The sequence below is a fragment of the Homo sapiens genome, chromosome 3 (assembly GCF_000001405.40).
Source record: "Homo sapiens chromosome 3, GRCh38.p14 Primary Assembly".
Classification (NCBI taxonomy): domain Eukaryota; kingdom Metazoa; phylum Chordata; class Mammalia; order Primates; family Hominidae; genus Homo; species Homo sapiens.
The window spans coordinates 61,045,352-61,063,514 of NC_000003.12; the positions used below are offsets into that span (position 1 = coordinate 61,045,352).

Genomic DNA, 18,163 nt, shown 5'->3' on the forward strand with positions numbered 1-18,163 from the left:
AAAACAGACTTTAAACCAACAAAGATCAAAGAGACAAAGAAGGCCGTTACATAATGGTAAAGGGATCAATTCAACAAGAAGAGCTAACTATCCTAAATATATATGCACCCAATATAGGAGCACCCAGATTCATAAAGCAAGACCTTAGAGACTTAAAAAGAGACTTAGACTCCCACACAATAATAATGGGAGGCTTTAATACCCCACTGTCAACATTAGACAGATCAACAAGGCAGAAAGTTAACAAGGATATCCAGGAATAGAACTCAGCTCTGAACCAAGTGGACCTAATAGACATCTACAGAACTCTCCACCCCAAATCAACAAAATATACTTTCTTCTCAGCACCACATCGTACTTATTCCAAAACTGACCACATAGTTGGAAGTAAAGCACTCCTCAGCAAATGTAAAAGAACAGAAATTATAACAAACTGTCTCTCAGACCACAGTGCAAGCAAACTAGAAATCATAATCAAGAAACTCACTCAAAACCACTCAACTACATGGAAACTGAACAACCTGCTCCTAAATGACTACTGGGCACATAACGAAATGAAGGCAGAAATAAAGATGTTCTTTGAAACCAACGAGAACAAAGACGCAACATACTAGAATCTCTGGGACACATTCAAAGTAGTGTGTAGAGGGAAATTTATAGCACTAAATGCCCACAAGAGAAAACAGGAAAAACCTAAAGTTGACACCCTAACATTACAATTAAAAGAACTAGAGAAGCAAGGGCAAAGAAATTCAAAAGCCAACAGAAGGCAAGAAATGACTAAGATCAGAGCAGAACTGAAGGAGATAGAGACGCAAAAAACCCTTCAAAAAATCAATGAATCCAGGAGATGGTTTTTAGAAAAGATCAACAAAATTGATAGACTGCTAGCAAGACTGGTAAAGAAGAAAAGAGAGAAGAATCAAATAGACACAATAAAAAATGATAAAAGGGATATCACCACCGATCCCACAGAAATACAAACTACCATCAGAGAGTACTATAAACACCTCTATGCAAATAAACTAGAAACTCTAGAAGAAATGGATAAATTCCTAGACACATACACCCTCCCAAGACTAAACCAAAAAGAAGTTGAATCTCTGAATAGACCAATAACAGGCTCTGAAATTGAGGCAATAATTCATAGCCTAGCAACCAAAAAAAGTCCAGGACCCAGATGGATTCACAGCCGAATTCTACCAGAGGTACAAAGAGGACCTGGTACCGTTGCTTCTGAAACTATTCCAATCAATAGAGAAAGAGGGAATCATCCCTAACTCATTTTATGAGGCCAGCATCATCCTGATAGCAAAGCCTGGCAGAGACACAACACAAAAAAGAGACTTTTAGACCAATACCCCTGATGAACTTCGATGCAAAAATCCTTCATAAAATACTGGCAAACTGAATCCAGCAGCACATCAAAAAGCTTATCCACCACGATCAAGTTGGCTTCATCCCTGGGATGCAAGGATGGTTCAACATATGCAAATCAAAAAACGTAATCCATCATATAAACAGAACCAAAGACAAAAACCACATGATTATCTGACTAGACGCAGAAAAAGCCTTCGAAAAAATTTGACAGGCCTTCATGCTAAAAACTCTCAATAAACTAGGTATTGATGGGATGTATCTCAAAATAATAAGAGCTATTTATGACAAACCCACAGCCAATATCATACCGAATGGGCAAAAGCTAGAAGCATTCCCTTTGAAACCTGGCACAAGACAGGGATGCCCTCTTTCACCAATCCTGTTGGAAGTTCTGGCCAGGGCAATCAGACAATAGAAAGAAATAAAGGGTATTCAATTAGGAAAAGAGTAAGTCCAATTGTTGCTGTTGGCAGATGACATGATTGTATATTTAGAAAACCCCATCGTCTCAGCCCAAAATCTCCTTAAGCTGATAGGCAACTTCAGCAAAGTCTCAGGATACAAAATCAATGTGCAAAAATCACAAGCATTCCTATACAGCAATAACAGACAAACAGAGAGCCAAATCATGAGTGAACTCCCATTCTCAATTGCTTCAAAGAGAATAAAATGCCTAGGAATGCAACTTACAAAAGATGTGAAGAACCTCTTCAAGGAGAACTACAAACCACTGCTCAACGAAATAAAAGAGGACACAACCAAATGGAAGAACATTCTATGCTCATGGATAGGAAGAATCAATATCATGAAAATGGTTATACTGCCCAAGGTAATTTATAGATTCAATGCCATCCCCATCAAGCTACCAATGACTTTCTTCATAGGATTGGAAAAAACTACTTTAAAGTTCATATGGAACCAAAAAAGAGCCCACATTGCTAAGTCAATCCTAAGCCAAAAGAACAAAGCTGGAGCCATCACGCTACCTGACTTCAAACTATACCACAAGGCTACCCAAACAGCATGATACTGGTACCAAAACAGAGATATAGACCAATGGAACAGAACAGAGCCCTCAGAAATAATACCACACATCTACAACCATCTGATCTTTGACAAACATGAAAAAACAAGCAATGGGGAAAGGATTCCCTATTTAATAAATGGTGCTGGGAAAACTGGCTAGCCATATGTAGAAAGCTGAAACTGGATCCCTTCCTTACACCTTATACAAAAGTTAATTCAAGATGGATTAAAGACTTAAATGTTAGACCTAAAACCATAAAAACCCTAGAAGAAAACCTAGGCAATACCATTCAGGACATAGGCATGGGCAAGGACTTCATGTCTAAAACACCAAAAGCAATGGCAACAAAAGCCAAAATTGACAAATGGGATCTAATTAAACTCAAGAGCTTCTGCACAGCAAAAGAAACCACCATCAGAGTGAACAGGCAACCTACAGAATGGGAGAAAATTTTTGCAATCTACCCATCTGACAAAGGGCAAATATCCAGAAATCTTCCAAGAACTTAAACAAATTTACAAGAAAAAAATCAAACAACCCCATCAAAAAGTGGGTGAAGGATATGAACAGACAGTTCTCAAAAGAAGACATTTATGCAGCCAACAGACACATGAAAAAATGCTCATCATCACTGGCCATCAGAGAAATGCAAATCAAAACCACAATGAGATACCATCTCACATCAGTTAGAATGACAATCATTAAAAAGTCAGGAAACAACAGGTGCTGGAGAGGATGTGGAGAAATAGGAACACTTTTACACTGCTGGTGGGACTGTAAACTAGTGCAACCATTGTGGAAGACAGTGTGGCAATTCCTCAAGGATCTAGAACTAGAAATACCATTTGACCCAGCCATCCTATTACTGGGTATATACCCAAAGGATTATAAATCATGCTGCTACAAAGACACATGCATACGTATGTTTATTGCGGCACGATTCACAATAGCAAAGACCTGGAAGCAACCCAAATGTCCAACAATAGACTGGATTAAGAAAATGTGGCACATATACACCATGGAATACTATGCAGCCATAAAAAATGATGAGTTCATGTCCTTTGTAGGGACATGGATGAAGCTGGAAACAATCATTTTCAGCAAACTATCACAAGGACAGAAAACCAAAAACCGCATGTTCTCACTCATAGGTAGGAATTGAACAATGTGATCACTTGGACACAAGGCAGGGGACATCACACACCAGGGCCTGTTGTGGGGTTGGGGGAGTGGGGAGGGATACCATTAGGAGATATACCTAATGCTAAATGATGAGTTAATGGGTGCAGCACATCAACATGGTACATGTATACATATGTAACAAACCTGCACATTGGGCACATGTACCGTAGAACTTAAAGCATAATTAAAATATATGTATATATATTTTTAAAATCCATAACTTCATAATGACACATGCATGAAAACTCATTAGACGTTAATGAATGAATGCCTAATAACTTCTAGTTGGTAACCAATGTTACCAAATAGAAGTTATTAGGCATTCATTCATTAATTAAAAATTAAAATATGATAAACAATTAATTTCCTGCCTATGTGAACTGTATATCAGAGTAACCAAATGGTTGATAAGAAAAAGTTTTTTTATAGATCTCCATGAATAAATGCAGGAGAAATGACACAACTAGAAAACTGCTATTTTGCATCCCCTAATGATATAAGACCTATATCCAGATATAGGAAACTACTATGAGTGGACATAAAACCATCAGTGTAAGCATGATAGGGAACTTGGTAACAGAACAGTCTGACAATACCTGAATGAACTAACTCATGTTATCTTCACTAAAAGGACATATATCATTATTTCCTTCATGCTGTGATGAAATAGGACATACATAGCACCATCTATGAAGTATTCTTGCCTAAAAAATCTCTATAAAATCTAGCCAAGACTCCAGACTAAATACCAGGTTATAGTGGTGATTGGGTTCAGGACATGCTTTCCTAAAATATGACACCTTGGTATTTAAGAAAACAGCAGAAGCGGGAAGGTCACTCTCACCTTCTGCCGTTCTCTCCTGAAGCAGGTCATGAACCAATGGAAGGATTTTTTTGAGCGTCCCCTGGAGCAGGTCATAAGACCATTTTAGAGGTGCCCTCCTTATACATGGAGGAAAGGAACATCCTTACCTCTGAAGACACAGGGACACAGAGAAGAAGCTGAACAAACAGGCCTTGCTAAGTTCCCTCCCCCAGTTTATTACCATTAGATCACACTCCCAATCATATGTCCAATCATACTTCACCTCTTCCCACTCTTCATCAAACCTAGCATAAAAAGTACACGGTTTAACCATTTCTTTGGGCCTTCATTTCCTTATGAAGGCTCCCATGTCACATGAAACTTATATTAAATAAATCGGTTTGCTTTTCTCTTGTAAATCTATCTTTTGTTATAGCGGCTTCCATCATAAAACTAGGATGGGAATAAAAGGTATTTCTTTTCCCATACAGAGAAATAAATTAAACACTGCCACAAAAAAGCGAACAGCCATCTTCAAAATATAGAGCAAATGATCCAGTTTCTCTCACAAATCAAAGTTATTGAGAGGAAGGGGATAAGAGGACTAATTAAAAAAAAGGAGACAAGCAACATAACAATTCAATGCAATGTGTGAATCTCTTTTAGATTCTGACTTGAACAAAACCATCAACAAAAGAACAATTAGGGAAATGCAAATATGGACTGGATATTAGAAAATATTAAGGAATTATTATTAATTTCATTAAATGTGATGATGGCATGGAATTTAAATAAAGGAGGTAAGGCCCTTATCAGTTAGAGATATCTACTGAAGAATTTTCAGGTGACAAGATATGATATCCAGCATATGCTTTAATGCGCTCAAGCAAAAGAAAAGAAAGAACGAAAAAATAAAATGGGGACAGAGGAAGTAAGATTGGCAAGATATTGATAATTATTAAAGCTGGATGATGCACGCATGGGTGTTCATTATGCTATTAGTTCTACATTTGTGTATATTTGAAATTTTCCAAGATACAGTTTTTTAAGGCACAAGATAGGAGTCAGACATTGGTTGGACCAGCCCTTTCACTTCCAGCTGGGAGAAACTGGGCAGATCACTACAGCCTGCACATTGCCCTCCTTTGTGTCATCAAGTGCACAGATATTTCTTCTAAGAATGCTCCAATACTATTCCTTGGATTTTCTTCCGAGCCATAGACACCTATTTTGTGAGTTTTGATGCTTCCCTTTCAATACTCATACACGTGCAGACAAACAACAGTTGTCCCAACTGCTACCTATCTGAAGTGATTATAAGTGACTATCAATTATGACATATATCCCAATTTCAAAGATTAAAATGTGAAAAAAATGTGCGTTAAAAAAATCTATGAAGAAAGAGACCTGGAGATGAAGTTATAATAAAAATGTCTATGACAATGAGATTTTCTGAATACCTACAAGGCATCTCCTGCTTTGGCTCCATAAGTACCACTATCTCTGTTTGTTTGTTTGTTTGTTTGTTTGTTTGTTTGTTTTTGAGACAGGGTCTCAATCCCTCGTCCAGACTGGAGTGCAGTGGCAGGCACTCCCCAGGCTCAGATGATCCTTCCACCTCAGCCTCCCAAATAGCTGGGACTACAGGCATGCGCCACCACACCTGGCTAATTTTTGTATTTTTGGTACAGACGAGGCTTCACCATGTTGCCCAGGCTGATCTCGAACTCTAGCCTCAAGCCATCTGCTCACCTCAGCCTCCCAAAGTTCTGGGATTACAGGCCTGAGACACCACCCCTGGCTTCTTGGGTTATTTTGACTGACATATCTCACTGGCTAAAATACTTCCATTTTTCTAGAAGCTACGGCAACTACCACTGGGTTGGCAAATGACAGGCCCTGGAAATGTTTCTGATAGATGTTTGTTGCATGAATAATAAATATGCAAATTTTAAGCCAAAAAAGAAATATAACACATGCAAAGAGATGTGGGGAGTCTCGTGCCCTTCTGTATAAAGTTCTGGAAGCTAATTTTGGAAACTCTATCAAGAAGTTGTGTGTGACTATTTTTCCAAAGTAGAGTCAAAATTCATGAGGCAGGGCAAAAGTTACACTGCATCTAATGATGAGTAAGAATGCACATCTGTTCCCTGGAGCTGCTCTCTATACACATATTCTAGTAATTTCCACACACCATCAGAAGATAGAAGATGGAGAAAACCAGTAAAGATATAATCTTTGAGAAAAGACTTTTGTTGGAGCCTAAACATAAACTTTTCCTTCAAGTCCATGTCCTGAGAGAGGTTTGTAAATGTGTGACCTAAATGAGGCTACCACTGAATTTTGTTTCCCAATATCCCTCAGAGAGGCTATAAGGCATATACAAATTCTACTTAAAAGCAAATCATGGTAAACATTTATTAAATTTTATTACGCACCAAGTACCACACTCGTGTTCTTCCCAGGACTGCCAAAGTTGGCTGAACCCTGATGCAGTAACTCTGCAGATGTACCTATAACATCTCAACTAATCCTAGCAGCAACCCTGCAAAGAACAGTACCACCTTACTTATATTTTCAGGATAGAGAGTATGACCTTTAGAAAGACTTGCTAACTGGCCCAAGTTCGACAGCCGGTAAATAGCATATCCAGGACTCACACCCACGGCTATGAAAAATCGGTGCTTGCGGCTTGTGTTTTTCACCTAAATACACAAGTGTTACATGAATGAACTGTGATGGAGGATCAGCATTGTTCCTGCCAACCACACCCACCTGCAGTCTAGCGCAGATCAATACTTTTACAAAGTGCAATGAAAATGAATCACTGGGGAATAAAGGCATTCAAAGTAAAAGTCAAAAGTTGTTATTGGAGTCAACAGACAAATTTATGCTGTTATTGCCCACGAGTTTCTAAATCCTTACTCTCAATTTATATGCTTATTTTGTTGCATACTGGCACCAGGACAAGGACCACCCTTTGAGTAGTGCTGCACTACACTTTATTGTTAGATCCATGCTTAGAATGAACACATTTATAATAAGGTTCCAAGATCCCTCCACCTATTGAGAGGCTGGTAATTCTTTTAGATGTTAATTAATCTATTTTTTTTTAAATGAAGATGACTTTTAGCATTTTCTTCTTTCCTATAAAGATTCATCAAGATATCAGACATAGGTTCCAAAGTCAACAAAAATAAAGAACTTGTGAAATTTTCTGCTGCTGTATGATACAACTGCTGTGGTATTTTGATAAATATTAACAGAAAATGTGAAACTTTGAAATATGTTTCCTTACCAAGGGAACAATGAATAATAATGAAACCAGGGAATGAGGACTAGAAGCACCAGGTGCCCCCGCCTCCCATCCACTGCAGGGAAGGACTCTCTTCCAAATCCACCCTGAAAAGTGAGTGGCTGTTGGGAAACTAAAAAATGTACTTAAGAGATCTCAAATATATGGTGACACATGGAATTCTTCAACCTGCCATGCCTCTTGAGAAGTTCTCAGGTAAATAACAAGAATGATGCCCACAATACATTCACATACATAAAAAAAATGTCCTGGAAAGAAAAAGAGGATGGGAGAAGAAGTTAATGATTCTTGGGGCTTTTTAAAAAAATTGTGTTCGGCTGGGTGTGGTGGCTCACACCTGTAATCCCAACACTTTGGGAGGCCGAGGCAGGTGGATCACCTGAGGTCAGGAATTTGAGACCAGCCTGACCACCATGGAGAAACCCCATCTCTACCAAAAATACAAAATTAGCCGGGTGTGGTGGCGCATGGCTGTAATCCCAGCTACTCAAGAGGCTGAGGCAGGAGAATCACTTGAACCCAGGAGGCAGAGGTTGCAGTGAGCCTAGATCGTGCCATTGCATTCCAGCAACCTGGGCAACAAGAGCAAAACTCCGTCTCAAGAAAAAAAAAATTGTGTTTAAAGTTTCAAGTTAATTTTTTTTAAGTCACCATAGCTCATATGGCCTTGGTATGAGTTGATGGGTCAAACCCATAGCTTCTCTGGCTACTCAGGAAATTAGTAAAGGAGGGCAAGGAAAGGCACAATATGGAAGAGAGAAATTACTAGACAAGAATCAGCAATCTGGAGCGAACCCAATCTAAAGGAAACAATTAGAAACTGGCACAGGTCCCAAATCAATAAGCAGAGGTGACTGTGGGCAGTGAGCATAATGGCTGGGTAATGAAAACTAAAATGCAGGTAAGCAAGCGCTGGGAAAGGAGCAGCTGATGACAGGGTCATCTGTCCAGAGGCTTGAAGAGACCTGTCTGAACAGGCTCTCACAGCCCAGCTAGTCCCTGATGTCACAGCCTGTGTGAATAAACAGCACTGGTGTGGTATCCCCAAACTTCATAAGAAATGAAGTCTTCATGGCTCACCTTGTCAAGGCCAGAGAACAATCCCAACAGGAAAAACACTTCTTACAGATTATGCAGTGGATTCAAAGAGCACTGGAACTGTATTTCCCATTAGCTCTAATGGAGGTTGTGCTAATAAATTCCCCAGCTCTGGGCTGAACAGGTGTAATTCAGTAATGTAGCTATAATTGAGTGATGTCAACTCAATATAATTTGTAATGTTTTTGTAACAAATTATCTCTTTTTTTTTCCAGAAAAAAAGGCATCTGTGATTCCATATGATAAATTACTTTAAAAGGGTGACATACAGTGCTAATGATAAAGATCTTTAATTGATAGAAATGTTAATAGTAGCATCAGCTAAGAATTATCTTTGCTGATTCTTTATACACAGTAACATTTTAAACATAACAAGCTTTCGTTTTTGACCAACCAATGTTTTTGATTTGTGACTCATGGTTTTCAGATATTTCTGTATTTCATCAATATAACTATTCTACTAGAGAGGTTCTGTATAAACCCTGCAATTTAGCCATTCCCTTCCCTGCACAGTTCCCAAGCCAGATCTAGACATTTCTACCTCTGTGCCTAAGAGAACACTGGTCTCCTGGTCTGGATGGACAGCTGTCTCCTCCTCTTCCATGTACCTAAGAATGACCTGTTGGCCCAGTCAAAACCCTCCTTCTATGAAGCTTTCCAGACCTATAGCCAGGATTACTCTTTCACACCCTATACCCCTGGGACACTTTGGGGTCCCTCTATTACATTCTTACTTTTCAGACCCCCTTGTACATGCTATTCCTCTGCTGCTCTCCCTGGTTAGGGCCCACTCATCCTTGGGGTTTCAGTTCAACGTTATACCTCAAGGAGAACCTTCCCTGCTTTGGAACAGGGCACATTACACGTGCATTTGCATACCTCTGCATTCCTTTCCTTTGTTGCACTAACCACAGTTGTTGTTAGTATCTTTTGTTTGTTTGTTTGTTTGTTTTTCAGGAAAAAAAGGCATCTGTGATGCGTCTCTTTTCCACTAGGGCTAGGCTTTAGACAAGGTCTGTGTTGAGTTTTCCTAAATCTAGTAGCAAGGACATGATGCTCCATATCTGAAGAAAGAATGCATGGATGAATGAATGAACAAACACTATCTCTGTCTGTCTCTCCCTACCTCTATCTGTCCTCTCCACTAAACTTGAACTCAAAGGTAATACAGTGCTCATTGTAGCCACAATAATGCCTAATTAGGGTCTCGTCCATAATAGAGATGAGAAAAACTCAGTTGAAATAAATTTAATTTCTCCTACTGTAGTGTTAACATCAGGTTAGTCATAGAGAATTCAGTTCCCAAAGCTTATAGTGTTTTTCACCATATGCTATCCACTGACCCTCATCAAGCTCCAACCACGTGCTAGCCCCTCTGCAAGATACTGTGGAAGAGAAGTGAATGATATTTAGAACCAAGTACTCTACAGTTTCTGGGTGATTCCCATGTATAACCACATTTCTGCATTCATGCCAGATACTGGGGGAATTCAAGGTTAATCAAACACAGATGGTGTCCTCAAGGAGCTCAGGATCTGGGAGAAGAGATAAAAGTGAAGAAAAAATATCATGAGGTGGAATCCATGAGTGACATAAAAGGAGTCCCAATACAGATTCTAGGTGTTCTAATGAGGGACAGAGAGAATGTAGGCTTAAGTGGGGGTATTTTTTTTAAGTTTTATTTTTAATTTTTGTGGATACATAGTGTATATATTTATGGGTTGCATGAGATATTTTGATATAGGCATGCAATGTGTAATAATCACATCAGGGTACGGTCTCCATCATCTCAAGCATTTATCCTTTGTGTTACAAATAATTAAACTCTTTTAGTTATTATCCTAAAATGCACAGATAAATTGTTTTTCACTCTAGTCACCCTGTTGTGTTAGAAAATACTAAGTCTTATTTATTCTTTCTTACTATTTTTTGTATCCATTAATCTTTCAGTGGGGACAGTTTTTAAAATGAGTCTTTACCTGTTGGGTGGGATGGCTCACGCCTGTAATCCCAGCTCTCAGGGAGGCAGAGGCGGGAGGATAGCTTGAGCCCAGGAGTTTCAGACCTGCCTGGGCAATATAGCAAGACACCATGCTCCACAAAAAGGGAAAAAAATGAGTCTTTACCCAGGTGAAGATTGGGATTAGGGACCCAGCCAAAAGGAAGCGAGGTTGAAGAGCAAGAGTGTTTATTCCTTGGTTCAATAGATCTTTGTCACCTACTGTGTGAGGCATAAATAAACCTAAGTCCATTCTCAATGCAGCTTACATTCTAATTGTGGAGACAGGTGAAAGCAAACAAACAACAATGCCAGGTTATAATGAGTGCTCTGAAAAAACAGGGCAGAGTAAGAAGCGAAGCTGATGAGAGTGCTACCCCAGACAAGGTGGTCAGGGGAGGCCTTCCCATGTCAATGACACTGAACAATGACTTGAATGAAGCGAAAGAGTGAGCCATGTAACACGCCTTGGGAAGTGCATTCCCAACAGAGAACAGCAATCCTCTCCACAGAGGAAGGACAGATGACCCACACCTTTTTCAAACTGGGGTCTCTGAGCATGTTCTTAGGGATCTGAATGTTCTTGATGAGACTTTTTATTTTTGGTTTTATTTAGATAATACTCACTTAAAATAGTTCAAGTGTATTCTGCATCAGCTACATAGCACCTAAAATACGGGTACCAGCACAAAAGTTTTGTGACTCCTTTATGTTTGCATTTATAATTGTGGTGGTATCAGGTATTGCTGTTTTAGCTGTCACAAGCAAAAGATAAAAAAAACAAACTTACTACTTAAATAATGTGTTTGTGCCTCATGATCTCAGAGTAGGGGTGGAGTACATATGAATTGTCCCAGTAATAGCAGCTGGAAGTGTTAGGGAAATTGAGTCATCACACAGCCTAGGCTAACACAAACATGACAAGCTGTGTAGAACCTTTGACATAACAGACATCCCGTATTGATGTTTCCAGAGATGATTCTGTTTAAACAAATAATATCATTCATCTTGTTAATGCAATATTCCTCATTTGAATTTAGTTTTGTCATTTTGATTGCATGTAATTTGTAAACGTGTTATGGTTTCATATTTGTCTAAGAACCACACAAAGAAATTCATACCTACTTTTGTATTTTCATGTGGTTCAATAATCCAATAACAAAAACATTAAGTTAACATTGGGGGTTCATAAGACTTTTTTTTCCCTTGGAATGGCATCCATATGTTACTCAAGGTTGGTCACAGTGAAAGCTGGTGGTGGAAAAGGCCTTTGTTTTCCAGAACCATGACCAGGTGATAGCTCTGGATGGTTTCCAATGAAACACACAGTAAGTACAGGAAAGAAGGGAGATGAATATCTTTGGTAGGAAAAAAAAAATCACAAATCAGATATACCTAATGACTGTAACTTTTATTATTCTCTGAACACCAAGGAACGTAAAGGCCATAAATTATGTTACATGTTGGTTAATTCTCCTTCAGAACACCCAGGCCATTGGAACATTAAATGTGGAAAGTATGTGGCGGGGGAGAGAGGGTGAAGAAGCTATAATGAAAGGTTCACTGCACTCGGGTGGCAGATTAAACACAGAGCCAGATGAGGAGTCAAGCGTCACTAAAAATGCAAAACAAATCCAGCTAAATTATTTCACCTGCAAGGAAAAGTTTTTCTCACAACACAACACTGTTCTATGCCAACAAATGTAAACAAGAGCTAAGACGACTATCTGAAAAGCTCAGGCAGTTGGTGAGGAAGGCTCCTTGGGTCACAGAACCCTCCAAAACTTCTCACTGTAGCAGCTGAGAGCTGGCATCTGAAATCAAACTGGGTAGAGTTCAAGAATCACCTCTAACAGAGATTAGCTCTGAGACCTAGCAAGTTCTTTAATATCACAGAAAAAAAAAAGACAAAACAACACCTACATTACAAAGTTGTTGAAAGGATTCACTGAGATAATCCTCATAGACCACTTAGAACACTGCCTGGCACGTAATAAGTTCTCCATAAACGTGAGCCATGAGTTTTATGATGCTATAGGTCTATGATTATATAAGCATGAGTCTCCACATATGGCACAACAAACTGCTCTACTCAACTCTACAGCCCTGGATGATGTCTCCACATTTTACATATTCCATGATAGTTTCCAATAATTTATATACATGTAAAGTATATTTGAGATGGTCGGTAAGATAACATCATTCTCATTCATTCCCCTCCCCAATATAGTTCCTAAGGAGGAAAGATATGAATAGTGCTATGGTTTGGATTTGTGTCCACGCCTAAATCTCATGTCAAATTGTAATCTTCAGTGTTGGAGGAGGGGCCTGGTGGGATGTGACTGAATCATGGAGGCAGACTTCCTCCTTGCTGTTCTCGCAATAATGAGTGAGATCTGGTTGTTTAAAAGTGTGCAGCACTTCCCCCTTTAGTCTCTTTCTCCTGCTCCCACCATGTAAGAGGTGCCTCCTTCCTCTTCACCTTCTACCTGAGGCCTCTCCAGCCATGCTTCCTCTACAGCCTGTGGAATGTGAGTCAATTAAACCTCTTTTCTTTATAAATTTCTCAGTTTCAGGTAGTTCTTTATAGCAATGCAAGAACGGACTAATGCAGATGGGTCTACAGAAAGAGCATAACCCAACAACCTTACATGGTAGGTACCATTATTGTCCCTATTTTACAAATAAACAATGTCCAGAGAAGAGGATGGACTTGCTCAAGGTCATACAGCTCATAAATGATGCAGCCAGGATTTGAGGTCAAGTAGTCCCAGTCTAGAATCTACCTTCTTAATCACCACAAGACTCTACTCCTCCAAACAAGTGTCCTTCCTCTGTGTCCAGTAAAGAGGAACTCTGGGAACTGCTGGTCACATAATTGTTTATTCCTCCAGGTTCCCCAATGTCTGGCCCTAGAAAATGAGGATGTTTCACTCCCAACTAAGCATTTCCCTAAGCTACTATTTGTTATGCTGTTAGCTAAGATAGAAAGTCAATTTTAAAATCGTCCATTTGAACAGTTATAGTAACTTTCGTAAATGGTAAATGAAACAATTTGAAAACACTGTCCAACATTTTACACAGTATCCCATCGACCACAGCTAACTAAAGTAATTCACATGTGAATTTTATTCTCAAAAAAAGTGTATGCTTTGCTTTTGACAGATAATGAAAGCCATTTAATTCAATGTGGCTTTTTTTCTTTGCTTTTTCCTTTTTTTTTTTTTTTTTTTTTTTGCCAGAAAGCAGTGAGATAAATTGAATACCCATAAACTGAAGAAAATCTGTTAATTTGGGGTGTCTGGTTACACCTATTCTTGTGCTTTTTTAAAAGAGAGTCTGCCAAAGTTTATTCTCTTCTTAAATTACCTCATCTGAGCAGTATTTTCATTTGTAAATAATGGCCACATATTCTCTTTAAAGTAGGAGGAAATGGAGACCTTAAGTGTTTCAAGGAAACTTCAGGTCCCTCAAACCTCCTTCAAAGAAAACAACTGATGATTGTCTTTGAGGCAAGGAGACACTAGTCATCAGGCCATCAAGGGCAGGGAACAACCTGAACACTTTGCAGCTCTGCACTACAGGTCCTCAACGTCGTTCTTGCATTAGCCCATTCTTGCATTGCTATAAAGTTCATTCAATGCCATCTGGTTATAACACCGACAGAAAATAAATTGATTCCCAGTGGGGCCCCTGTCTATGTAGGGTCTGAACATTCTCCCCATGCTTGCATGAGTTTTCTCTGGGCAGTCAAGTTTTCTCCCACATCCCAAAGATGAGCATGGTAGGTGAACCGGCATGTCTACATGGTCCCCATCTTAGTGAGTATGAGTGTGTGTGTGTAGGTGTGTAGGTGAGTGGGTCCTGCAATGGGATGATGTCCTGTCCAGGGTGAGTTCCCACCTTGCACCCTGAGCTGCTGGGACATGCTGCAGCCATCCGAGACCCTCAACTGGAATATAAATAATTATCTTACCTGTTTTTATTACTCTTTCTTAAATGTGTATATAGTTCGCATAGATTTCAATGTAAAATATTCAAAGTGTTTTGGTCTATTTAGAAGTTTGATGGTATAGTTGTGACCAGAAATATGCCATAGGAACTTAACTCTTATTTATATCAATTAGTCTATGGTGAAATTGGTTATATGTTGCTTTGCTTTATGTCCCAGTTTCCAGGAACCTATCAATGACATTAAGTAAGGACTTACTGTACTTTACTATAGCTGAACAGGCTGCCACCCAAAACCATAATGAGCTACTATGACGACAGTCAATCAGGAGACATATCTGTGTTTCAGAGAAGAAAGCCAGCAGCTTTCTGGGAAAAAGCACAGAGGGAAACTCCCCTAAGCTGGAGCTATTTCCTAGCAGTAACTTGCTGCTGCAGTTTAGCCCTGTCATCTGTGTGTACTCCTCATTAAGTACCACATTATGGGCCATCATATCTTCTCCAGCTGCAAGTAAAGGCAATGTCCTGGAATTGCCCTATGGCCCAAATGTGTGACTAATGACTGAGACTTTGGCTTCTTGCTTGATGTTTGGCCTTCAGTATTACATGAACCTGCTCTGAAAGACACAACACTGTCACAGATGTATGCGGACAGATTAAGCTCCAGATGGAAGGCTGTCAATGTCAATCAGTCACTGTTCTTACAGCCTGGCTGGCTTTTCATCTAAGCAACCACAGAGCATGATCCTGCAGCACTCAGTTCCTTAGCTCAATTAAGTCTTAGGATTGGAGGTCAAGTTACCCTGGTTTCCTAAGCATTCTCTACCAAATGATTGTTTTTGCCTCACTCCTACTGATTCATTTATAGTAGCTTCTTTTGATGCATTCATCCTTGAGCATGTCTTCCCATTTCCAAGTGACTTGTTTCACTATTCTGCAGAATGTTCCAGCCCTTTGATGAACTATATATAATTGTCGAATCAGCTGTCCCACAAAGAGATAAAATCTGAATTAAATACAGGACTTGTTGTCAGGAGAGAACAGATAAGGTGAAGAATTAGAAGACTAGCTGGGAAGAAGTGAGATGATTGAAGTTTATGAAACATTTTCCCCCCTCCTTTGAGTCTCCCAATCTGCTAGTTTCAGTCGGTTGGTTTTGTGTTCCTGTTGTGATATATGTTTAGTTCAAGGCTGTGGACTTTGTGCCTTGGTTACAGGTAAGTGCCTCTGTGTTTCTCATCTTTATCTATCCAGTCACTTGTCTCCTCTCAAAGTTTCACTTTTTAAATATATATATGTTATTTAATATCAAAAGAATATCTTCACCTTTCATAAATTGCTAACCCTAGACTCTGGATGCCTAGGGTAAATTTTTAATTCTATTTTATTTATTTTAATTAAATTTAAATTAAAATTTGTTTTAATTAAATTTAAATTAAATATCTAATTCTACTTTTATTTATTTATTTAATTCTATTTTTAAGTCTATGGACTTGCTTGAACACACAGCTCAGCAATGATGCAGGCAGGATTCAAGTCCAGGCAAATCATGGCTCTAGAGCTTGTGTTCTTAACTTCCACATGACATTGTCCCTCGGGAGGAATATTGTAACTCCCTACGTTTCCATTCCAAACTCTCAAATATAAAATGATAATTACAAGGTACACGTTATTGCAAAACATGTATAAAAGCATATAAATCAAAGATTACATTTTGCCTCCTCTTCTTTTTCCCATCCCTCTACCCTCATATCCACACAATTTCATTCCCTGAGGGAGCCTATATTAATAATTTGGCATGTACATTTTTGCATACAGACATATATTTTTCTAAGTTTCTATAATACATACTGTTCTGTCACATGTTTGACATCTTTTCATGTCAATTCATAGAGATGCTTGTTAATGGCTGCAGAGTAATTTCAATGTATAGACATATAATACTATATATAATACTATATTGAACCTCTTTAGCTACTTGGTCAAATATATCTACAGAATACGTTACTAGACATTTCAAGGAATTTCTATGTCAAAATATTTCAAATAGTTAATAGTTCCAAACTTCCCAATCCAAGTATAATATTTTTATTTATATCCACAACAGGGTATCCCCCTGATTTTGCCCATAGTGCTTATTATCCTAACCAACTGATTGATATTTTTAGTTTAATTATTTAAAAAATGAGGTTATAATGAGGTCCCTAAGAGTCCCTTAACCTAATTTACTAGGATCTACTTTATCTGGAGAGTAAAATAAAGCAACTACCCAATCTCAAAATATCCTTTTGCCCCTCCCAAATGACTCTTCTGGAATCATTTATATGCTGACCTCCATATAATTTATTGGATTTATACGATCTTATATCTCTAGATTGAGTTACAAATGGATGAATCTCTTGAAACCTAGACCAAAAAATAAGAATAGAATAAAAAAAGAGTTTTTGGTATGGAAACTGTGACTCTCCAACGTCAGTAGAGACATTGAGAATGGTTTCCCATGTCCCCAGGCATAAACTAAAATATCCACTGCTTTTGGACAGTATAAATGCAGAATATGCCCCCAGATGAATAGAAATGAGCAAATCTTGAGTGCAGAACTGAATTTCTTGGAGCTGTATTGGTTACCTGGAGCCATGAATTAAGTGGATCTGATTCTATCTCTTAAAGGAACAGAAAAAAAATTATTCCAGGTGATTACTGCTCCTCAAGCATGTGGTCACTCAAAGGACCTTCTTCTAGCTCCACGGGATACATAGTTGCTATTCATCAGCTCTGCTCACTGAAGATGCTGTGCTACGCATTCCAAATGGCGCCTTGGAGGACTAACTGATATCATTAACACAGACTCGTAGAGATGTCATCATTTTCTTCTTCATCATCTTCGTCAAGATTAGTTTTAAGTGTTGGGAGTCCGAGGTGGGTGGATCACGAGGTCAGGAGATCGAGACCATCCTGGCTAATATGGTGAAACCTGGTCTCTACTAAAAATACAAAAAATTAGCCGGGTGTGGTGGGTGCCTGTAGTCCCAGCTACTCGGGAGGCTGAGGCAGGAGAATGGTGTAAACCCGGGAGGCAGAGCTTGCAATGAGCTGAGACCGCGCCACTGCACTCCAGCCTGAGCGACAGAGCGAGACTCTGTCTCAAAAAAAAAAAAGATTAGTTTTAAGTGAACCATGTACTAGTTCTCAAATCAACCACATCGGGTAGGTTCCATTATTATTTAATTCTGCAGATGTGAATACAAGGCCACAAGTTCGTAAGTGATACTGCCGGGGCTCAAACCACTTATGTATTATGTCAAAAGCCATGCTCTTAACCATTGCACTATACTCCCTTCTACAGGCATAAAATTTTAAAAATATATACCAGAAGAGCAAAACAATCCCAAGTATGGGAAGGAT

At 38.9% G+C, this 18,163-nt stretch overlaps 1 protein-coding gene across 8 annotated transcripts in view, besides 1 other annotated feature; it reads right to left on the reverse strand.

Moving 5' to 3' along the window:
• Nucleotides 1-18,163, reverse strand: part of FHIT (fragile histidine triad diadenosine triphosphatase) — a 1,504,176-nt gene that overhangs the window by 1,298,075 nt on the left and 187,938 nt on the right. The gene's annotated exons all lie outside the window — the stretch shown is intronic.
• Nucleotides 11,086-11,380: a silencer, noted in NCBI's record as "tiled region #1919; K562 Repressive non-DNase unmatched - State 24:Quies". NCBI's record gives its function as "represses a minimal TATA promoter and a strong SV40 promoter by Sharpr-MPRA in K562 cells {active_cell/tissue: K562}" and the evidence as "EXISTENCE:reporter gene assay evidence [ECO:0000049][PMID:27701403]".